At 38.6% G+C, this 23278-nt stretch overlaps 1 protein-coding gene and 1 long non-coding RNA gene across 7 annotated transcripts in view, besides 5 other annotated features; one reads left to right on the top strand and one right to left on the bottom strand.

The window, feature by feature from the left end:
- SUGT1-DT (SUGT1 divergent transcript) lies at positions 6441–7443 on the bottom strand. The gene has a single exon (NR_170300.1). It is a non-coding gene; the product is annotated as an SUGT1 divergent transcript (long non-coding RNA).
- Positions 7273–7612: an enhancer, noted in NCBI's record as "active region_7794". NCBI's record gives its function as "activates an Ori minimal core promoter by ATAC-STARR-seq in GM12878 lymphoblastoid cells {active_cell/tissue: GM12878}" and the evidence as "EXISTENCE:reporter gene assay evidence [ECO:0000049][PMID:35858748]".
- Positions 7703–7972: a silencer, noted in NCBI's record as "silent region_5388". NCBI's record gives its function as "represses an Ori minimal core promoter by ATAC-STARR-seq in GM12878 lymphoblastoid cells {active_cell/tissue: GM12878}" and the evidence as "EXISTENCE:reporter gene assay evidence [ECO:0000049][PMID:35858748]".
- Positions 7703–8223: a biological region, named in NCBI's record as "NANOG-H3K27ac-H3K4me1 hESC enhancer GRCh37_chr13:53226721-53227222".
- Positions 7722–8223: an enhancer, noted in NCBI's record as "NANOG-H3K27ac-H3K4me1 hESC enhancer chr13:53226721-53227222 (GRCh37/hg19 assembly coordinates)". NCBI's record gives its function as "activates a minimal SCP1, AML or CMV promoter by ChIP-STARR-seq in primed H9 embryonic stem cells {active_cell/tissue: H9 hESC(primed)}" and the evidence as "EXISTENCE:reporter gene assay evidence [ECO:0000049][PMID:30033119]".
- SUGT1 (SGT1 assembly cochaperone of MIS12 kinetochore complex) overlaps positions 7972–23278 on the top strand; it is a 48074-nt gene continuing 32767 nt past the window's right edge. The window contains exons 1-11 of one of the 6 annotated variants that reach the window (NM_001320831.2): positions 7972–8094; positions 8182–8239; positions 12668–12758; positions 13235–13362; positions 13535–13604; positions 14315–14385; positions 17785–17838; positions 18232–18248; positions 19171–19193; positions 20773–20869; positions 21948–22055. In NM_001320831.2, coding sequence (NP_001307760.1) covers positions 13344–13362; positions 13535–13604; positions 14315–14385; positions 17785–17838; positions 18232–18248; positions 19171–19193; positions 20773–20869; positions 21948–22055 — 459 coding nt within the window. In that variant the 5' untranslated portion in view covers positions 7972–8094; positions 8182–8239; positions 12668–12758; positions 13235–13343. Of the gene's footprint in view, positions 8095–8181; positions 8240–8286; positions 8373–12667; positions 12759–13234; positions 13363–13534; positions 13605–14314; positions 14386–16610; positions 16707–17784; positions 17839–18231; positions 18249–19170; positions 19194–20772; positions 20870–21947; positions 22056–23278 lie in introns of those variants that run through there. The other 5 variants (NM_001130912.3, XM_017020365.2, NM_006704.5 and 2 more) reach the window with 5 other exon arrangements.
- Positions 8333–8452: an enhancer, noted in NCBI's record as "active region_7795". NCBI's record gives its function as "activates an Ori minimal core promoter by ATAC-STARR-seq in GM12878 lymphoblastoid cells {active_cell/tissue: GM12878}" and the evidence as "EXISTENCE:reporter gene assay evidence [ECO:0000049][PMID:35858748]".

Below are 23278 nucleotides of genomic sequence, written 5' to 3' on the forward strand. Positions count from 1 at the left end.
ACTGCTTTCACAGAACCCCTTTAATCTCTCCCATTTAGACATATATGACACTATAATAACTGCCTGTTGATATGCGTGATTCCAACACTAGATTATTAAGCACCAAGATTGCAGTCATTTTAGTATCCCCAGTCCCTCGCATATCTATACATAGGAGGGATTCAATATTTATTAAGTGAGAAAACTACATATTCTCCTTGCCTTTTTTTTCTTTCTTTTTTGAGACAGGGTCTCGCTCTGTTGCCCAGGTTGGAGTGCAGTGGCATGATAACAGCTCACTGAACCTCGACCTGGGCTCAAGCAATCCTCCCACCTCAGCCTCAGTACACTCAGTGGACTACAGGCATGCACCACCACATCTGGCTAATGTATTTTGTAGAGAAAGTGTTTTACCATATTGCCCAGGCTGGTCTCGAGCTCCTGGGCTCAAGGGATGCTCCTGCTTTGGCATCCCAAAGTGATGGGATTACAAGTGTGAGCTACTGCGCCTGGCCTCCTTGTGCTCATGTTCTTATGTTGCTTACCACCATCCATATGCTGATGACTATCAATTCTTATCTATAGCTCTAAATGTGTTTTAAAAAAATAGCTTTAGGCCGGGCGCGGTGGCTCACGTCTGTAATCCCAGCACTTTGGGAGGCCAAGGCGGGCGGATCATGAGGTCAGGAGATCGAGACCATCCTGGTTAACAAGGTGAAACCCCATCTCTACTAAAAATACAAAAAATTAGCTGGGTGTGGTGGCGGGTGCCTATAGTCCCAGCTACTCAGGAGGCTGAGGCAGGAGAATGGTGTGAACCCGGGAGGCAGAGCTTACAGTGAGCCGAGATCACGCCATTGTACTCCAGCCTGGGCAACAGAGCAAGACTCCATCTCAAAAAATAAAATAAAATAAAATAGCTTTATAGGGCTATAGTTGACATAAAGCAAACCATGCACATTATTTAAAGTGTACAGTTTGAAGTGTTACATATGTATACACTCGTAAAATCATCACCATAATCAAGATAGTGAACATACCTATTACCCCAATGTTTCCTCATGCCCCTTTTATTCTTGAAATTCCACCCTGCTCTCCAGCCCCCACCCCCACCCAGTAAACCACTGATTGTCATACAGATGAGTTTTAAAATTTTTCAGGATTTTATATAAATGGAATCATACAAAATGTACTATTTTTGTCTGATTTTTTTCACTTAGCATAATTTTGAGATTCATCCATGTTATAGTGTGTAGCAATACTTCATTCCTTTTATTGCTGAGCAGTATTCCATTGTATGGCTATACTGGCTATACTGCTGTTGTTTTTTGTTTGTTTTGAGATGGAGTCTCGCTCTGTCGCTCAGGCTGGAGTGCAGTGGTGTGATCCTGGCTCACTGCAACCTCCACCTCCTGCATTCAAATGGTTCTCCTGCCTCAGCCTCCTGAGTAGCTGGGAATATAGGTGCGTGCCACATTTTTTTGTATTTTTAGACGAGACAGGGTTGGCCAGGCTAGTCTCAAACTCCTGATCTCAGGTGATCCACCCGCCTCCGCCTCCCAAAGTGTGGGATTACAGTCATGAGTCACTGCACCTGGCCAGCTGTACTACTGTTTATCCATTCACCTATTGATGTACATTTGGGTTGTTTCCAGTTTTCAACTGTTAACCATTAAAACTGCTATAAACAGACACAGACATTTTGTACAAACATTGCATGAACATGTTATTTCATATCTCTTGGGTGCTAATTGTGTAGCAGTGGTCTAAGTCATTTTATGGTTGTGCCTTTTTACATTCCTACCAGTGGTGTATGAGTCTTCCAGTTGCTCTACATCCTTGCCAACATGGTCAGTCTTTCTCCTTTTAGCCGTTTAAATGGGTGTGTAGTGGCATATGGTTGTGGTTTTAATTTCTATTTCCCTATTGACTTACAGTTTCTGAGTTTTGAGACATCTTCATATATTCTGGATGCAAGCTCTTCATCAGAGATGTGATTGCAAATATTTTCATAGTGTAGAATCTTTTAAATTTTGGTGAAGTCTAATTTACAAATTTCTTCTTTTATGGATCATGCTTTTGGTGTGCTAAGAAATCTTTGTCTAACCCAAGATCACAAAGATTTTCTTTCCTCTAGAAGTTTTATAGGAGTTGTAGCCCCATAATCCATTTTGAGTGAATTGTTGTACATGGTGCAAAGATACACACTGAAACTCACTTTTTGGCACATGTATATCCAGTCTGTTTTAAAGTCTCTCCTTTTCAACTGTTTTTTCTCCACTGAATTACCTTTGGACCTTTGTTAAAAATCAGCTGTCTACATATGGTATGGGTCTATTTATGGATTCTCTGTTCCATTAATCTGTCTATTTTTGTGCCAATACCACAAGGTTGACAGGTCTTGAGATGAAGTAATGTTATCTCTCCAACTTTGTTATTTTTCAAAGCTGATTTGGCTATTGTAAGTCCTTTGCATTTTCATTTGAATTTTTCCCCCATTTGAATTTTAGAATCAGTTTGTCAACTTCTAAAAGGGAAAAGCTCTGGGATTTTTTTTTTTTTTTTTTTTTTTTTTTTTTTTTTTTTTTTTTTTGAGACGGAGTCTTGCTCTGTCGCCCAGGCTGGAGTGCATTGGTGCAGTCTCGGCTCACTGCAAGCTCCTCCTCCCGGGTTCACGCCATTCTCCTGCCTCAGCCTCCCAAGTAGCAGGGACCACAGGTGCCTGCCATGACGCCTGGCTAATTTTCTTGTATTTTTAGTAGACACAGGGTTTGATTGTGTTAGCCAGGATGGTCTCGATCTCCTGACCTTGTGATCCGCCTGCCTCGGCCTCCCAAAGTGCTGGGATTACAGGCGTGAGCCACCGCGCCCAGCCAGCTCTGGGATTTTTAAATGTACTTTATTTCAGAGATGGGGTCTCTGTTGTCTAGGCTGGTCTCCAACTCCTTGCCTCTAAGCGATTCTCCTGCCTCAGCCCCAACAAGAACTGAGATTAGACATGAGCCACCATGCCTGACTAGGGATTTTGATTGGGATCATGTTGAGTCTATAGGTCAATCTTGGAAGAACTGAGATCTCAACAATATTGAGTCTTCTTGACTCATGAATTTGGAGTAGCTCTCCATTTGTTAGTTTTCTTTAATTTCTCTCGGCAATATTGTTGGGTTTTTTTTTTTTTTTGAGACAGAGTCTTGCTCTATTACCCAGGCTGGAGTGCAATGGCGCAATCTCGGCTAACTGCAACCTCCGCCTCCCGGGTTCAAGCAATTCTCCTGCCTCAGCCTCCCAAGTAGCTGGGATTACAAGCACCCGCCACCACGTCCAGCTAATTTGTTTTGTGTTTTTAATAGAGATGGGGTTTCGCCATATTGGCCAGCCTGGACCTCAGGTGATCCACCCGCCTGGGCCTCCCAAAGTGCCAGGATTACAGACGTGAGCCACCACGCCTGGCTGCAATATTTTTTAGTTTTCGGTGCACATCTTGCATATCTTTTGTCAGATTTATTTTTCAGTATTTAATATTTTGATGTTACTATACATGTCATGACTCTTTGCATTTAAAATTTTGATTGTTACTGATTTTGTTTTAAATCTTTTTTCTGTTGAAGTATAAACTTGGTAAAGTGTACAAATCTTTTAAAAATTTTCTCTCTTTTTTTTAAACTTCTCTTTGGGAAAGCTTTATTGTGAAAAAGACACAAATAAGAGATTTTGTTAGATTCAGTTTGAAATTATCAAGTGTAATACACTTAAGGATGGCTTCAATGTTAGACTGGGATGGTTTTCTCTTTTAAATGAAAAGGATCCCTTTCCTAGGAAAATGTTAGGTAACACAGTATAAGTGACTATTTTCACTCTTCAATTTGAAGATCAATTATCCTTCAATAAATGCCCACTTAATCCAGCATGGTTACTCCTCCCCTTCTTTAAATTACCAAAGCTAAGTACATTGGTATATTTAGTTGTGTCATTTGCACATGAAAACTTTTTTTTTTAACTTTTTTTTTTTTTTTGCAATAAGTCTCGCTCTTGTCCTCCAGGCTTGAGTGCAATGGCTCAATCTCGGCTCACTGCAACCTCTGCTTCCCGGATTCAAACGATTCTCCTGCCTCTGCCTCCCAAGTAGCTGGGATTAAGGTGCCTGCCACCATGCCCGGCTAATTTTTGTATTTTTTAGTAGAGATGAGGTTTCACCAAGTTGGCCAGGCTGGTCTCGAACTCCTGACCTCAGGTGATCTGCCCGCCTCGGCCTCCCAAAGCGCTGGGATTACAGGCGTGAGCCACTGTGCCCGGCTGAAAACATTTATTAATAACTTCTTAAGCATTTGTCTGTCCTTCCTCCCAAGATTTCAATAAACTGATGCCAAGAATTTATGGAGAAAATTATAAAAACTTTACTAAAAGACATACGAATAACTGAATGAAACAAGCAATTATGTTCATGGACTGGAAGAGGCAATACAAGGGAAATATATCATTTCTCCTCAAACGAATCTGCAAAATCAAAGTGAACAATTTGTTGTTGTTGTTGAGACTCACACTGTTACGTAGGCTGGAGTGCAGTAACACGATAAGAGTCTCAACCTCCTGGGCTCAAGCGATCCTCCTGCCTCAGCCTCCCAAGTAGCTGAGGCACGCGCCACCATGCTTGGCTAATGTTTTTTATTTATTTATTTTTTGTAGAGACGAGGTCTCACCATCTTGCCCAGGCTGGTCTTGAACTCCTGGGCTCAAGTGATTTTTCTGCCTTGGCTTCCCAAAGTGTTGGGATTACAGGCGTGAGCCACTGCACCCAGCCTGCACAAATCTTGTGCATAACTTGATAAAATTTTATGTTTGAATACACTGCTGTGATTACCAGCCAGATCAAGATATGTAACATTTCCCGCATCCGAGATTTCTTCATGCTCCTGTTCCCCACCCTCCCTGACAACCAGGAGGTTCCCTTATGATACCTCTCATCTAAGTGGAATCAATCATGATGTACTCCGTCTGGCTTTTTTTTTTTTTTACCACAACTTATGTATATAAGCTTCATCCATATCGTTGTGTGTAGTAGTCGTTCATTCCTATTGCTATGTAATATTTTTTTCTCCTATTTAAGGACATTTAGATTATTTCCAGTTTTTGCTACCTTGGGTAATGCTGCAATGAATATTCTTCTACATGATCATAAATAATAAATACTCTTGGGTATATGCCCAGTGGTAGAATTATTGGGTTATGGTCTGTGTATAACTAGCTTTAGTAGATAGTGTCTGATATAGTTTGGATATGTGTCCCCACCCAAATCACATGTCAAATTGCAATCCCCAATGTCGGAGGTGGGGCCTGGTGGGAGGTAACTGGATCATAGGGGTGGGTTTCTCATGAATGGTTAAGTACCACCTCTCTTGGTACTGTCCTTGCAACAGTGAATTCTTGTGAGATCTGGTTGTTTAAAAATGTGTAGCACCTACCCCCACCCTACTTGCTCCTGCCATGTAAGATGGCTGCTCTACCTTTGCCTTGTGCGGTGATTGGAAGCTTCCTGAGGCCTCTGCAAAAGTAGAAACTGCTATGCTTCTCGTACAGTCTGCAAAACCATGAGTGAATTAAACATTTTTTCTTTATAAATTACCTAGTCTCATTTATAGCAATGCAAGAACAGACATACGGTACCACAGTTTTCCAAAATGATTAAACTCTCACCAACAATATATGAAAGATACAGTTGCTACATATCCTTGTCAGTGCTTGGTATTGGAAGTCCTTTTAATTTAAGCCATTCTGGTGGTAGTTTTGGTATCTCATTGATTTCAATGTCCATAATATATAGAACTTCTTTTCATGTTGGGCCCATAGGGCGGTCTTGGAATTCACCCTTTCAGAGGCCATACATATATGTGTATTGGTGCATGGCAGAGGCTGGTGTACACACATTAGTGTATGGCTGAGCCATAACCGGAGCATACCTGAGACTAACCCTATGGTCTAAGAAGAACTTACGTTTGGAGTCCTGGGCTAAGGAATCCAGGAGCAGCCAACCCAGAGATTCACTCCTTATCTATGAAGGACATCCACATCCCTGGCCCGTATCTTACGCTGTACAGATCAAGGCCCTTTGGGGTTAAATGGAGGTTGCTAGAAGGAGAGTGCTAAGTGAAAATGCTATATAGACTACGTGCTTTTTACAAATGGTAGCAGTTCTCCAGGTCAGCCCTCCACCACCGGACCACCCTTGTATGTAAATCCTGAATAAACCTTGTCTCCTTCACTGACTCTGCCTCTCTTCTTACAGTGCCATCCCAACTGGAGTCAGTGGGGTCCAGAAGGACAATTGGCCATTTAGATAACATTTGAAAACTAACCAAGGTAATTCACAGTAACATTAAAAAATACAAATGAACATTTCAATAAAGGCAGAAAAAGCAGTTGATATTCAATGCTTTCCTCCTGATGTTATGACCAAGACAAGGAAGTCCATTATCACTGTTTTTATTCAATAGTGGAAACACTAGCCAGCAACAAAAGGCAAAAATAAATAAAAATAAAAGGTATAAAGGTTACAGAGAAGTTAAACCATCTTTATTCGTGGATTGCAAGATTTTGATCACAGAAATTCCGAAAGAATCTACAGAGTATTACAAATAACAAGGGAACTTAGCAAGATGCTTGCATATAAGGTCAGTATGTTAAAATCAATATTGTTTATTCTTACGAGTAGAATATAAAAAAGTCAAAATGCCATTTAACATTGTATACAAAACACTAAATACTCAAGAATAAATCTAATGAAAGATATATATGATCTCTATACTGCAATCTATCCAAGCACAGCTGCATTAAAATATAGATATATGTGCAATCTACAAAATATTGCCAGGAGAAATTAAAGACCGCTTAAATAAATGGTGGGGGAAGAATGATATTCATGGATTGAAGGACTTGTTGTTAAGATACTAGTTTTCCCAAACAGATCTATAGATTCAATGCGAGCCCAATAAAAAATCCCCCCCCTTTTTAACAAGCTAATTCCAAAATTCACCTAGAAATACAAAGGCCGTAGAATAAGCCAAAACAATCTTGGGAGAATAAGTTACAGGACTTAAAGATTTATTATAAAACTACATTAAATTAACATAGTTTGGTACTGGTATAAAGTTAGACAAAGACTACTCCCTCCCGCTCCTCAATCTGCCCCCATCCCTAGAACGTGCTGGCAGCTTTCTCCATCCGATCTGCAAGGGTTAAAGGGCGCTGAGGAAGGGCTGACCGACTGGGGTGGGAAACAAAGCGGCACTGAGATAACTTCAGGCCACCTTCCTCCCCTCAGTACCTTCGGATGAAAGGTTTCCCTTCTTGGTCTGGGAAGCCCACTAAGAAGAAAGCCTGGGCTGTGGCGTTCTGGGGAAGTGAATAGTACGGCCGCCGGGCGCGTCGCCCCAGGAACCAGAAGGCTTTTTGCCGCTATTAGTGCAGAATGACTTCCGGCAAGTCCCAGTCGTTTAGAATCCCCAGCCCAAAGATCGCGGGGATCCACGCGTCATCCGGGCCTCTGCTCCCGGAAGAGACCACGCAGCCGCTAAAGACGTAATGGAGGCGAAAGGGCTTGGCTAGCTGTGGCAGCCATGATAAAAACTAGGGAAAATGGGAGCTCGAAGTAGCTTCCGTTATTAACAGACATACAAACGCCCCTAACCGCCACACGTTCCTTAGGGATGACAGTACGTTACAAAAGTGCTTCTAAAGTACTACTGAAAGCTCCGTGGGAGTGCCCGCTGGCGTGGGCGCGGTGGAAGGGAGGAAGAACGTGTACGCCCCAGGCCTCCGTAACCATGGCTGCGAGGGGCGGGGACTGGGAGCGCGGGTCCTGGGCCGGGGTGCGGCTGGGAGGAATCGGTCCTCCACTGTCCCAGCCGGCCCCGCGCCGGCGTGTCGCCTCCCGTCCCCCTAGCAGCACGCTGCGTGGCTGCTCGCTGGCTATTTAGGACGGAAGCTCGGTTGGTGTTTCTCCAGAAGTTTCCCCCTTGGGCGGTGGTGGAGGTGGTAACCGTGATAGTAGCAGCTCCGGCGGCAGCAACAGCGACTACGAGGGATGGCGGCGGCTGCAGCAGGAACTGCAACATCCCAGAGGTGCATGTTTTTCTTTCCCTTTGGTATTTATTTTATCCCCCTTTCCTTGGCTAGTGAGCCCTGCTGAAGTCGTTGTTTTCCTGACAGGTTTTTCCAGAGCTTCTCGGATGCCCTAATCGACGAGGACCCCCAGGCGGCGTTAGAGGTGAGAGAGCCCATTTCTGCTTCCTCCACTCTTCTTAGGGGAGCTGGGCCACTTCGGGTCCCCGCTGACCCGCCTTCTCCCCGCACCGCCGGACAGGGACCCAGGCTCTTGTTGATGCTGCGTCTCAGCTCCGGTATTGAGATTCTCCGTCTCTTTTCTCTGTTACACGGTAGCCGCGTTACCCCAGACTCCTGTCTTGCCCTTTCCACTCCCTACAGCTCCTGAGAAAAACCTCCTCTATTTCTTGGGAGCATGGTTGGCATTTGTAGTTTGGCTGAAAGGATTTTTTTTTTAATGACATTTATGATTAGAGAAGTGGACTCTGGGCTCGATGAAGTTAATTTTTTCGTTTGACAATAATTCTTGCCATTCTTACGTAAAAGTGTCGGTATGAAGTCAGTCTACTGGAGCAAAACCCTTTTCCCTCACGTCCCTGAAACTTTCCAGATGTCTTATCACAATTCATTATTCACTCATTTGTATATTCATCAAAATTTTTTTTTGGAGTGGCTGTGTGCAAAGGCGCTGATTGCTGTGGGTTAAAGTCTTGGTTATATACTCAGCTAACCTAGAAATCACTTTTTGTAGGTGTGCAATGAAGGCAAACCATAAAGCTGTAAAGGAATGTAAAAGATCAAGAGTTAAATAATAAGAATTAAAGGAGAACCTAAAGATAAATGATGCTGCGGGTCACAGAATTTAGCCAGGAGTTTTTGTTTGTTTTTGCGTTAAATCACAGAAAAGAGGAAACCTGTTTTGCTGTTACGTTTAACAATTTGAGGCAAGACAGCGTCTTTTCTAGCTATGACTTTTATAAGAAATGTGCCACATGGTACTAGAGCCTCCGTTGAGGAGATCTTTGAGTGGAGATTTGAAGGAACAAGGGAATTAACTTGGAAGCTCTGGGGAAAGAATATTCCAGGCAGGACCAAGAGCCAGTGCAGATCTTGAGGTAGGAATGAAGTTGGCCTGTATGTGAAGCAACAAAAAGGCCCTTTTTATTAGAGGGCCCATTTGATTAAGAGAGGTTGGACAGGAAACTAGGAGCCAGGTCCTATAAGGCCTTTTAGGGTCCAGGTGTGTTTTTTACACCTAAATATATAGACCTTTAGATACTGGGAGTAAGGCTTCTGGGATGAGTTTGGGGATAATGTTACAGGAAGCACTGAGAATTTTTCTCCATAATTTCTTGTATTAGCTAGACAGCTATGACTTTTAATTTACATTTGTTATTGTCGTGTTAGACCTAGTGCTTCCTTTGGGAATCCAGTTTATATAAAAGTTGCTTTTAAACAGTATTAACATAATGAATTTTATTGTCACTTTCCATCTTCTTTTACTTTAAAAATTTTTATGGAGGCATATATGATTTATGTAAATAACACAGATTTTAAGTCTATAGTTTGATGAGTTTTCACATGTTTACACCACCAGATTAAGATACAGAGTATCTCCATTCATAATGCTCCTTAATGCGCCTTCTCAGCCAGTAATTCTTCTTACTGTCCTGCTGACTCCTGCTTTGACCTCCATCACCATCAGTTAGTTTTGTTTGTTCTTGACTCATAAACAGAATCATACAGTAGGTGCTTTATTGAATGTAGACACTCTTTTTGCTTTAATGATTACATAAGTATACATTCATATTGTGTGAAGTAGTAGTTCTTTCGCATTGCTGTGTAATATTCCATTGTATAAATATATGTTGTATAGCCGTAAGTACGGCGCAATTTATTCTAACAGTGGACATCTGGGTTATTTCTAGTTATTAGCTAACAAAAAGCTTCTGTGAATACTCTTGTACATGTATTTTGGTGAACACATGCATTTCTTTTGGTTGTATGTACCTAGGAGAAGAATTGCCTAGGATAGTCATGTGGCTAGTATTAGTACCTTGGTTTTTAATGTATGGCTCTTGGACCAGCATTATCAGCATCACCTGGCAATTCATTAGAAGTGCAGCCGGGCGCGGTGGCTCACGCCTATAGTCCCAGCACTCTGGGAGGCCGAGGCAGGCGGATCACGAGGTCAGGAATTCGAGACCAGCCTGGCCAACATGGTGAAACCCCGTCTCTATTAAAAATACAAAAAATTAGCCGGGCATGGTGGTGGGCAGCCGTAATCAGCTACCTGCGAGGCTGAGGCAGGAGAATCACTTGAACCCTGGAGGTGGAGGTTACAGTGAGCTGAGATCGCGCCATTGCACTCCAGCCCAGGCGACAGTGAGGCCAGGCCATCAAAGGCATTAAATCCCAGCACAGGGTTTTCAGTTTTATCATATGATTATGGAGATCCGTCAAGAATTTGGAGGAAGGAAAATGAAATTTTCTGAATTACAAAACCTACTTTAAAAGCAGAGTAGATAGCGAATTGGAGGAGGCACAAGGGATAGTGGATAGCAGGAAGATGGTAGTGCAGACCGGGTCAAAGATGAATATTTGCATGTAGGGCAGTGATTGAGGGCATGGAGGTGAGTTGTTTTATGTAAAATGCACCGGACTTGGTGACGATTAGAATATAAGGGATGTCTCCTGAGTTTCTGGCTGGGGGAATGTTGTAGGAACTGGTGCCATTCATTTAGATAGCACTTAGGATGATAGCACTTAGAAGATTGCCTTCAGCATGGGGGAATAGGTTTGAGGATAGAAAGTAGTTTTAGATTGTGAATATTTGTATATGAGTTGCCTCTGGGACATTTCAGGTAAAGTTTAGAGAAAACTATATGCTGATGTTGCCCAGGACCACTGTCTAGGCTCAAGATAGACTTGAGTCATCAGCATGCATCAACACATATGTGAAGCCCCCCAGTAGTTAAGGAATCAAAGAATGTTTGTAGAGGGGAAGAAGTCTTAAGTACTGAGCCCAAGGAGAACATTAGTTTTTAAGAGGCAGCAGAATGGTAAGCTGAAAGGCCTGGTTATTATTGTCAAGGGCCACAGAGAGATCAAGTCAGATAGGAATCAGTTGGATTTTATAAGGGGTTATTAGTGACTTTGAGAAGATTAAGACTAGAGAGGCAAATATTTTTGTATTCTATGGCAAAGGAGATGCAGTCAAAGTAGAGACTGGGGAAAAGGCTGAAAAAAGTCTGCAAGAAGAAAAATCAATACTTTTCATTGAGTGATTACTGGATGTCACATACAGATCTAGGCAAGCCCAACACCCTGGAGTCATCTTCAGTTTCTCTTATCCCACATGTTCACCCATTAGCAAGTCTCTCTGCTTCTAATATGTTCCAACTTAATCGTATTTCTTTTCATCACCTCTGTGGCTAACATCCTTTTCTAGCCTAGACTTAATGTAATAGTTTCCTAAGAAGTCTCCGTTTCCAGTCTTGATTTGATAATGTATTTACCATACTGCAGCCAGAATGACATTAAAAAAAAGTAAATTGGACCATGTTCCCCTTACTAACAGTGAACTTTCCATGGCTTTCCATCAAACGTAAGGTCCAAATTCCTTATAACTGCCTGCAAGCTACAAAGTGAGGCCCTTAAAGTAGCATCTTACAGCTTCTTTGCTCTCTTGATTTGAGCCTTACTTTCTGTTGATTGACTGTAACCCCATGTGAGTTGAGGAGCATCTGTATATGTTGCTTTCTGAGAGTCACACTACTAGGTTAAAGCAAAGTCAATGATACATGTGGCTCTTGAAATAATTTTACCATTTAAGAAAACTACCAAATCCCTAGAGTTTGTAGGCAGTTGGCAGAAAATAAAAGTGTTCCTGCACTTGTCTTTGATCTCCCTAATTGTGTAATCTCTTACATCATTATTTTTCCAGCTACCACACCTATATGTTGTGACTGCACAAGTTAAAAAAGTTTCAATCTCTAATGTTAACTCTTGGTAGTTGACATAGCCATCTATTAGATTGTATCTGGGCTTTGAACAGAATATTTAGTTGGGTTTTATTAGAGTTGTGTGCTATTGTTAGAGGCTAGGAGAGGGCCAGGTACACTTGATTGTGTATGTATTGATTGTCTTAACCTCCCTGAGTGCTAGATTTAACTTCTGGTCTTTTTTTATTGCACAGCTTAACATTTTCTAGGAATCTCAAATTCTATATGGTGTTTGAATCTTCTTCAAATTAGTAGGAGGAAATCTGTAATGGTCAATGTGTAACAATTAAACTCTTCAGAATATATGAGCTGATAATAATGATCATTTATTAAGTTCTATAGACCAGGAACTAAAAGCTTTACGGTACAGAGATGCTACATTAGATTGCCTACTTTTGGGAGGAGGGGCAAGAGAAGTGGGGGAGATATTGATCCTTTTATAAGGAAAAACTCCAATATTATATCCGTGTTATCTTTCCTCCAAATAGCTTCTGACAATAAGTTACTTGATTAAAAATTATGTTTTAATTAGAATTTGATGGCTTCTTACAAACTTTTACTGACGCTCCACATGTTTGTTTTTGTAGGAGCTGACTAAGGCTTTGGAACAGAAACCAGATGATGCACAGTATTATTGTCAAAGAGCTTATTGTCACATTCTTCTTGGGAATTACTGTGGTAACGTTTCTTATAAAGTATATTGCCCCCTTTTAATAAGTTACTTATACATTTTACCCATGACAAATTAAAAGTTGTCTTTGAGAATTTTTAAATTGGTCTTTTATACAAGGTAAAGTAGCTCAAATGTGACAGACATGTTGAGCAACACCCATTTAAATTTTATGGATGTCGCTTTTTCCTTCATTGGGTGGAGAATGTATACAGATTTCATTCATAGTTATTGGGTATGCTGATAAAAAATAGCATCACATTTACTATTTGACAGACTATTAAAATGAAATGCTCGTTTAAATTTTTTTTATAAAAAAGAATGTGGCCAGGCATGGTGGCTCACGCCTGTAATCCCAACACTTTGGGAGACCAAAGCAGGAGGATCATTTGAGCCCAGGAGTTCAAGACCAGCCTGGGCAACATAACAAGACCACCTGTATTTAAAAAGTAATGTATTTCTGTATTTTGTACCTTCTGAATAGGGAAAAACTGAATACCTTGAGTAAAATTACATAGAAAATGTTAATGAGACAAGGAGGTGAATTTTGTGACACAGCTGTATTCATTGAAGAGCTTTAAGAAGGAAGCTAAATGTTAAGCCAAAAGGAAGGTACAAGAGTAATATTTATTTGAATTCTATCTTGTATTAGCTTTTCCTAATTTAAAACCATTTGGCATTTCTACCAACTTGAAAACTTAGAAATCTAAAACTGATTCATATGTTGTGTGTATTTGCTAGGATCTATAAATAACTGACTAAAAACCCGTCTTTTTCTACACAGTTGCTGTTGCTGATGCAAAGAAGTCTCTAGAACTCAATCCAAATAATTCCACTGCTATGCTGAGAAAAGGGTATGCAGTAGCTACTCTTCTTGTTGAGCTTGGTATAGATAGTAGGTATTTAATTTGTTGAATGAGTTCATTGCAAGCTTTATATAAGTTGTAAAATTCTGTATTTATACATTATATAGCAGAGATATGATTCAATTTTAAATACAACTTATAGTTCTATTATTTTGTTAACCAAAGTATGTGATAGGAGATCTGTACTTAGTAAATTTTAAAATAGTGATGATTGAAGTATTTGCAAGGTATAGATGAAACTGATAGATTTCACATTGCTTTTTTTTTTTTTTTTTTCAATCTTTTGGAATTTACTATATTTAATTGACTGGACAACATCCTATTCAGCAAAGCTGAATAGGCTACATTTAATGCTATGAAAGCGCTATATCTGTATACTTTATATCCCATCTTGTTTCTGTTGATAAGTATAACTATTCTTTAAGAAACTTCTTTAATTCCTTTGTATAATTATATTTTTGAGTAAGCAAGTCTGTACAATTAAAGTCAGATTCCTTCTGAAGTGAGTTCTAAAATTGAATTTTAGTAGGAATTGTACTAGATCTTAACAGTATATTAGAAAGTCTCTAGGTTTATTAACATACACTTAAAATAAATTTTTTCTTTCAACAGTAGAAAATACTAAGTTTTTTATTTAGAAAGAAGGTATTTTCCAGATTTTTTGTGTGTCTTAATTTGTTTTAAATATATTCATGCAGAATATGTGAATACCATGAAAAAAACTATGCTGCTGCCCTAGAAACTTTTACAGAAGGACAAAAATTAGATAGTAAGTATTAAAAATTATACTTTAATAAACTTATCTATTTCTGTCTTAAATACCAAAGCTGAATTTTGGTAATGTTAATTTCAAGTTAATTGTAGAAACCCAATACCTGTTTTTCTCATCTAAATTATATTTCATATTGATTGCAGATATGAGATCACTTAAAATCGATTAAATTAGCCTTTTGGCATTTAAATCATAGATGAACTTCACCATTAGAAGTAAAAAAAACTATGGAAACACCTAACATGCTCTCTCTGTTTAGTCTGGCTTTGTTTTTTTCTAATGGAGAAGTGAAAGTTTAATTTGCCTTGGTCAGAAGTCTGTTCATTTTAAATTATTCAGATTGCTGAGATGTGAAATCTTAACATTAAAGGTTTTTATGGAGAAGTGAAGTGTACGTTTGGGTAAATTATGAGAGGGTACAGAAGAAACACAGTTTTGAGAGTATTGTGACTTTTAATGTTATATTCTTGAGGGAATATATGAAAAGTATCACAGTGGTGTGGATATCTAGACATATAGAAATTGTGAGAGTCAAGAATATATATATATATATATATATATATTTTTTTTTTTTTTTTTTTTTTTTTTTTTTTTGAGACGGAGTCTCACTCTGTCGCCCAGGCTGGAGTGCAGTGGCGCGATCTCGACTCACTGCAAGCTCTGCCTCCCGGGTTCACGCCATTCTTCTGCCTCAGCCCCCCGAGTAGCTGGGACTACAGGCGACCACCACCACGCCCGGCCAATTTTTTTGTATTTTTAGTAGAGATGGGGTTTCACCATGTTAGCCAGGATGGTCTCAATCTCCTGACCTTGTGATCCACCCTCCTCGGCCTCCCAAAGTGCTGGGATTACAGGCATGAGCCACTGCACCCAGCCGAGAGCCAAGAATTTTTAAATCTGAAAAATACTAAGAGGTTGTGAGTAATTTCAGAAAATTGGAGACTACATAATCCTACTTGTATTATCATTTTATCTTTATGTTATGATAGAGTTTTATCACAGTTCTCTAAAGAAGTGGTTCTTAACTGGAAACGGTTTTGCTTCCCAGGAAACTTTATGCAATGTCTGAAGAGATTTTTGATAATCATGAATGGTGGATGGGGGTTGTGCTACTGACATCTAATGAGTATAAACCAGGGGTGCTACTAAATATTCTATAATGCCCAGGACAGTTCTGCCTAACAAAGAAGTATATGGTCCAAAATGTCAGTAGTGCTGAAATTAAGAAACTTCACTCTTAGTATTTTATGTTACATTCTTACTCTGTACTGTTTTGAATGTTTGCCTTTCTGTTGTGTACCTATTCAGAAAAAAGGATTTTAGCACTGATTATGCAAATGGAAGCTACAAATTAAAAAAGGAGAGGTCTGGGTGATAAGGCTTATTCTCAAACTTGCTTATCCCAGTTTTGGTATGTGAATAGTAGGCCTATTCAGTCAGCAAACAGGACATCTGCACTCTTAGCAAATTCTAGAGTGAAGTTATGTAGTGCCTTGGTACCTAATGTGAAAATCCTGAAGAAACATGAGTCATACCATTCTCTACATTTTCATTTTTCTTTCTTTTTTTAGCGAGAGAAGGTCTCGCTCTGTCGCCCAGGCTGGAGTGCAGTGGTGCGATCTTGGGTCACTGCAGCCTCCACCTCTTGGGCTCAAGTGATCCTCCCACCTCAGCCTCCTGAGTAACTGGGGCTACAGGCACATGCCACCACACCTGACTAATTTTTGCATTTTATTTTTTGCAGAGATGGGGATTTGCCATGTTGCCCAGGCTGGTCTTGAACTCCTGGACTCAAGCGTTCTGCCTGCCTCGGCCTCTGAAAGTGCTGGGGTTACAGGCATGAGCCACTGCGTCTGGCCCCTAGATTATTTTCTTGAGTAATATCTTAATATCATGCCATTGACATTTATTCTTTAGTTATTTCAGAGGTGGCCTTCAGAGGAAGACCTGTTTGGTAAAATTGCTGTTGAGGATATTTTACTTAAAAATAAATTTGTCTTTAAATCCAGGAAACTTTTTTTGTTGTTGTTTTTTGGGGTTTTTTTTTGTTTTTGTTTGTTTGTTTGTTTGTTTCTTTTTTTGAGACTGAGTCTCACTGTGTTGTCCAGGCCATAGTGCAGTTCTCTGTCTCTCAAGTTCAGGTGATTCTCCTGCCTCAACCTCCTGAGCAGCTGGGACTACAGGCATGCACCACCAAGCCTGGCTAATTTTTGTATTTTTAGTAGAGACGGGGTTTCATCGTGTTGGCCAGGCTGGTCTCCAACTCTTGACCTCAAGTGATCCACCTGCCTTGGACTCCCAAAGTGCTGGGATTACAGGTATGAGCCACCATGCCCGGCCAAAATCTGGGAAAAAGTTAAGTTAAACTTTTAGGCTTCTATTTTTATCAGACAGGGTAAAGAATTGTTACCTTTTCCCCTCTTTGTGTGATAAATTGCTTGGTTTTAGTTACTGATTACTTAAAATAATAGGTTACTCAAATCTTTTTGATATAATAGATTTTGATACAATAGTTCTCTAGAATACAGTGTGTGTGAGAGTGTATTTAAATTTTTTATTAATGCTGGTATAGTTGGATTTCTTTTATAAATTAGTAAAGTAGAAATTTTTGTTAAGAAATTTTTAATTTAAGATTTTCAAATTTATCTTGTCTGCAGTTAACTTGAATTAATAAGCTCTTATTTAGAGTACTTTTAATACTTTTAACATATCTTACTATGCACTGTGACTGTTTAAATGTAATCATTGTTCTGTGTCTCCAGAAGTGAATAATTTGTTTATGCATACATTTACACTGTTATCTATAAATATATAATACATCACCTATAGCCTCTCGACTGCCATGTAACTTGGAGATAGGACAAAACTTCACGGAATTTAAAGATGCTTGGTGTTGGTAGGAAAGGCATGGTAACAGATAAAGCCACTGAGAGAATAGTGGACTGAATAGGTATCTGCATTGAAGAGCAAGCTGGGGCTGGGAACGGCTTTTGAACCTCAACTCAGCTCCCAGTTACCAAGCCTCCTCCCCACCCTAACTGATGGCATATTGGGAGTCTGATTTACATCTGATTTTGTTCTGTGTGTGAGGAAGCTTCTCTAAGAGCAGCGGGATTGGGGGAAATGCAGATTATTTGTATCTGTGAAATTAAGGTTGACTGTAGTTAAAATTTTTAAAAAATCAAAATGTTTCATGATTAACAACTAAATGTTAAACTATTGGTATATTTATAACTATAGTAGAGTTGGTGATAAGGTCTGTTAAGACAGGTTTTGTTCGCTGCCGACTCCCCAGTGCCTAGAACACTGCCTGGGATGTAGTAGGTATTCAGTAAGTATTTGTTGATTTATAGGTTGTGCAGATGAGTGATGTTATAGTCAGTTTTTTCTTTCTAGGTGCAGATGCTAATTTCAGTGTCTGGATTAAAAGGTGTCAAGAAGCTCAGAATGGTATGTGGGTCTCCCTTGGTATTTGTTTCAATTTAAAAAGAAGTAAACATCTGAAATTTTTTTGGTTTAAACAAATTTGTTTTTATCTTTATAATTTCTTTTAAATAGTATACGTTTCCTTAGATGTGGACTTCCAAAGATACACTGGTTTTTGCATAGCTTCTTATGTTGAAAGGGGGATTTGGGTGGATTTGCTTGTATGGTATATCAGTAAGAAATTACTAAGGAGTCTAAAATGAATTCAGGATGCAAAATGAAACCACTTTTCTTTAGTTGAAAGGTACGGAGAATTTGCTTGCTTAATCAGTATGTTTGTGCTATAGAAATCATACAAATAACTTTGCTTAAAAATGCACTGTTCCCTGAAAATGTTTCCTTTTTATGTTTTAATAGGCTCAGAATCTGAGGTGGTAAGTCCAAAGTTTTCATTCTTCATGTTTTTATTATTTTAAATTTCAGCTACCAAATATATTTGAGACAAGACTCAGGATGAGCTGTCTGATATTTAAATATTAAGCAATTCCATTTAAGTGCTGGTTCCTCTAGGCACTGAAATAAAATCATTTTTTGATAAATATAGAAGTTTCCAGTCATGAAAATTATTGGCCTATTTTAATGAATTTAGTGTGTGGTTAAAGTTGATTTCGTGTGTTTTAATATGGTCATGATGATCATTTATCTTTTCGTTACTAAAACCTTATTGCATTTATTTAGGTTCAACAGTTTGAATCACTTGTAGGGCTTTTTATGATAGGCTAAGACAAAAGTTAAAGAAAATTGGAAATTGACAGGGTCTTGCTCTGTCATGCAGGCTGGAGTGCAGTGGTGCCATCATAGTGCACTTGAGCTTCAAACTCCTGGGCTCAAGCAATCTTCCCACCTCAGCCTTCCAAGTAGCTGGGACTACAGATGTACACCACCAAGCCTGGCTAATTACTCTGTTTCTTTAAAACGATTTTTAAAACAATGTTATTTTAGTTTAGGAAGTTGCTGAATCTTAGAACTGGCCATTTTATATAAGCAACCTTTTCTAATCATGCCTTTAGAAGTTTTCTGTTATTTAAAGTTCTGTTATTTTAGAGCAAAAATCTTTTATGAAATTCAATCTAAGATTTTTTAAATGCTGAGCATTCTAATTTTTTTCCGAAAACTAGTGGTATTTAACAATTACAGTTACTATGTCTTTGAAGAAAATTTTCATGTAGTTATTTTATATCAAAATAACTGCAGTGTTGGGTAAATTAATAATACATGCATTTTAATAATACAGTTGCTAAACTGACTTGTAAAAATCTTTCTCTTTCAACTTACCAAAATCAATCTGCATCCCAGTGGACTCATCAGTCAAAAATCAAGTGAGTGTTTCTTTTTCATAAAACAATGCATGATAAATATGCCTAAAGAGGAAGAAACCCTGTAGTTTAATAGTAAGCAAATTCTTACCATGTGATTTTTAAGTTTTTGTTTGTTTTCTAAAATTGTGTAATAGCTTTATGTAAAGCCAATTTTAAGGCTGTTTAAGGATTAATATTTGTACTTCAGTTAAATTCAAATCATTTCTCATCTTTAAAGTTGCTTCACTTGGTTTCATATTATGTTACCTTTCCATATGTTAAGGAGAGTCTCTTCCAGTTAAGTTTATGTTACTACACAGGTAAACAAGTTAGTAGTAGATCTAACAGAATTGTAACTTAACCTGCCTTTTATATTTGGAGCAAATTTTTCATAGGAACATTCTGTATGCGTTGAAAGTTAATATTGCTGAGGGCAGCAATTATAATAATGAATAAGCAACTAGCAAGTCTTTGACTTTTAATTATTCATTAGCCTGTGTACAGCTTGTATTCTTAGGACCGTAACAGAAACACAAGCCGTTGATCTGGAGCTTTGCATCCTTACTGAATTGCAAAGGGAAACCGAGACTCTTAAAGTTCATTTCTTTAATCAAGGTGGTTTTGGATATAATTACCTAAAATGGCCTGGAAAAGTTAAAAACCATCTATTCATGGTAGTTGTGGGGAGATACAGGATGAAACTCCAAGTACCTAGTAGATAAGGAACTTTGACTTGCCCTGGTGGCAGCAGCAGGGGTAGGGCACATAACCATGAAATAATAATTAAGGTGTTCAGAGCATAAAATAATCCCACATCTAACTTAATATACGTGTACCGGACACTGTGCTTGGTCCTAGGGATATAATAGCGACAGGATAAACAGCTCTGCCCTCAGAGAGCTTTTAATCTAGTCTAATTTGAAAGTGAGGATTCCTACGTTTCTAGAGCTTTCAGTACAAAAGATGCACATAATTAGAATCTAGACCCATTAGTCTTTCCATGTATCTTGAAATTGAAGGAAAGTGTTGTATATGATGTTGTGCCTGACACAGTTAAACTTCATATGATTTTAATTTTAGTTCATTTGCCCCTGTTTTGTGTGCTCAAGTCTATCTGCTTCCAACATCAGTTTTGAGAGCTTGGAGTGTTGACTCAGGCTTATTGCTTCACCTTTCTGAGCTTAAGTTTTATCATCTGTAAAATAGGGATTTAAGTGTTTATCTGTAGTATTTGGATGAAATGAGAGTATAAAAACTCTATTGATGGCATATAAATATTAGCTTGTTTAAAATAAATGACATCTTTAATATTTATATTAGTTTAAGCACAACAGTGCTAGAGATGAGTCAGAACCCAGAAAATCATGCAAGTATTTAAGTCTACTGGAAAGGTGTGAGCATCATTTACCTTACCATTTTTTTCCATTAGTACAGAGCATAAAAAACTAGTTATATAAAGTTGTTTCTGTGAATCAGTAGTTGCTTTGCTGTTTTCTTCCTCCAGGTGGGGCTCTTGTTGTTTATCAGACTAGTTTTTGTTTTGACAATAGCTTTAAAAAAATTAGAAGAGTTACCTAAGTTTCTTTTTTTTTTTTAATAGGTATGACTGGTATCAAACAGAATCTCAAGTAGTCATTACACTTATGATCAAGAATGTTCAGAAGAATGATGTAAATGTGGAATTTTCAGAAAAAGAGGTCAGTAGACTGAATCATTTTTCAATGTTGATTACTATTATTTGCAAATTTAGTATATTGCAGAATAATCGATAACGGTTTATCAGATAAATGCTATTTCTTCCTGAGATGATTTGGAAAATGTTGAATAAAATCTGAAGCCATTGCTTTGAGGTAAGAATATGTATGTTGGTAAATTATAGCTGGATGTGCATTTTTTTCTTTAGATTTGAAATTTAAAGCAGAATTTGGTTATATTAGTAAGATAATGTGCTTTGGTTATACTTGTGTGGTGTACTTCATGAAAAAGATCTAGTTAGTTTTGTGATCACACATGTCTTAGAATTGACTAGCCATGTTAAATGAGTATGACTTTTTTTGTTGTTGTTTTTTGAGACAGAGTCTCGCTCTTGCGTAGGCTGGAGTGCAGTGGCGCAATTTCGGCTCACTGCAGCCTCCTCCTCCTGGGTTCAAACAATTCTCCTGCCTCAGCCTCCTGAGTAGTTGGGACTACAGGCACATGCCACCGTGCCTGGCTAATTTTTGTAGAAACGGGGTTTCACCATGTTGGCCAGGCTGTTGTCGAATTCCTGACCTCAAGTGATCTACCCATCTCAGCCTCCCAAAGTGCTGGGATTAGAGGCATGCACCACCGTGCCCAGCCTCTTGAGTATGACTTTTAACAACTTGATTTCTTACCATTTAGTAGAGAACCTTATAATAGATTATTTAAAAGAGGTAGTGATAGAACTGTATGTTTTGCACATGGATCACTTTTTGTTATATATCATTTTGCTTTTGTATGTTTTCTTGAAATCTAAATATCAAATAGGTGTGATTAAATATATGACAAATATTATGAAACTTATTCTTTTCTGCTGTTTAATGATGTCTATAAGAATTCATGTCAAGGATACCAGATGGAAAAAAAAGGTTCTTAAATCTTTGAGAACCTTTTGAGGTTCTTAAATCTAAAATTCCATATATAATGTTTAAAATAATTTGTAACATTATTGAAGATTTGTCATTATTTTGTGTAGGTTTTTTACCCTCCATTATATACATTTACAAAATGTGATGCTAATTTTGTGTTCATTAGTTGTCTGCTTTGGTTAAACTTCCTTCTGGAGAGGATTACAATTTGAAACTGGAACTTCTTCATCCTATAATACCAGAACAGAGCACGTTTAAAGTACTTTCAACAAAGGTAAGACCATTGAAAAGTTTGTTACTAGTAATATTTTCAAAATTATAGAAATACTGGTGAACTAATCACCCATGTGTTTATAAGCTTGTAGATTCTTTCAGCCCTTTAACAGGGACAAGAAAATAAGAATGATAACTTTTGAGTATAAGGGTTATTTTACCTCTCAAATTCTAGTACAGTAAAGAATAAAAATCCACTTAGAGTGTGTGGCATTTGTGTATTTACTAAGACAGATATAATGTTTTTCAATAAAGGGGTTTTTTTAAAAAGATACAATAATCAGCCTGTCTTTAAGATTTGATACTGACAATGTCTCTTCCCTTGAACTTGTCAGTTTTGTCTGTTTTGATGTACAAATACTTTTGTCACCCTACCTCATGCAGTTAAAAATACAAACTACAAGAAAGATGAATCTGCCTTTTGTTTTTTTTGTTGTTGTTGTTGAGACGGAGTCTTGCTTTGTTGCCCAGGCTGGAGTGCAGTGGCGTGATCTCGGCTCACTGCAACCTCTGCCTCCTGGATCCAAGTGATTCTCCTGCTTCAGCCTCCCAAGTAGCTGGGACTACAGGCATGCACCACCACGCCCTGCTTAATTTTTGTATTTTTAGTAGAGATGGGGTTTCACCATATTGGCCAGGCAGGTCTCCAACTCCTGACTTTTTTTTTTAAACTGAATTTTAGATTACTCTATTATGAGGGAACAATGAGTAAATTATAGTTTGAGTAATTTTTAGATTCCTTTATAGTTTCTAAAAGAAGTAGAGATATACAACAGAATTAATATTCAGAGAGTATCACTCAAAAGATGTAGATAATAGTGTAATTTAGTAGGAAAAAAACTGAAAATTTAAAAATCTGACTCTGGATCTTTGCTTGCCCTGTGTATTTAGTCTAGGCACAAAATGACTATAAGACTGAATTTTCAGCACCTTTGAAAGGAGGGCTGTGGACCAAATGAACTCTGGAGTCCTTTCAGCTGTAGAATTGTGTGAAGGTATATGATAAATGAGTTAATGGGAATAAATGATGTAGGTAGGCTTTTTCCATTACTACTTTTTTTTTTTTTCCTTGTTTTTGAGATGTAGTCTAGCTCTGTTGCCAGGGTGGAGTGCAGTGCTGTGATCTCAGCTCACTGCAACCTCCGCCTTCTTGAATCAGGTTCAAGTGATTCTCCTGCCTCAGCCTCCTGAGTAGCTGGGATTACAGTCATGTACTGCCACGCC

Source organism: Homo sapiens, chromosome 13 (assembly GCF_000001405.40).
Source record: "Homo sapiens chromosome 13, GRCh38.p14 Primary Assembly".
In the NCBI taxonomy this organism is placed as follows: domain Eukaryota; kingdom Metazoa; phylum Chordata; class Mammalia; order Primates; family Hominidae; genus Homo; species Homo sapiens.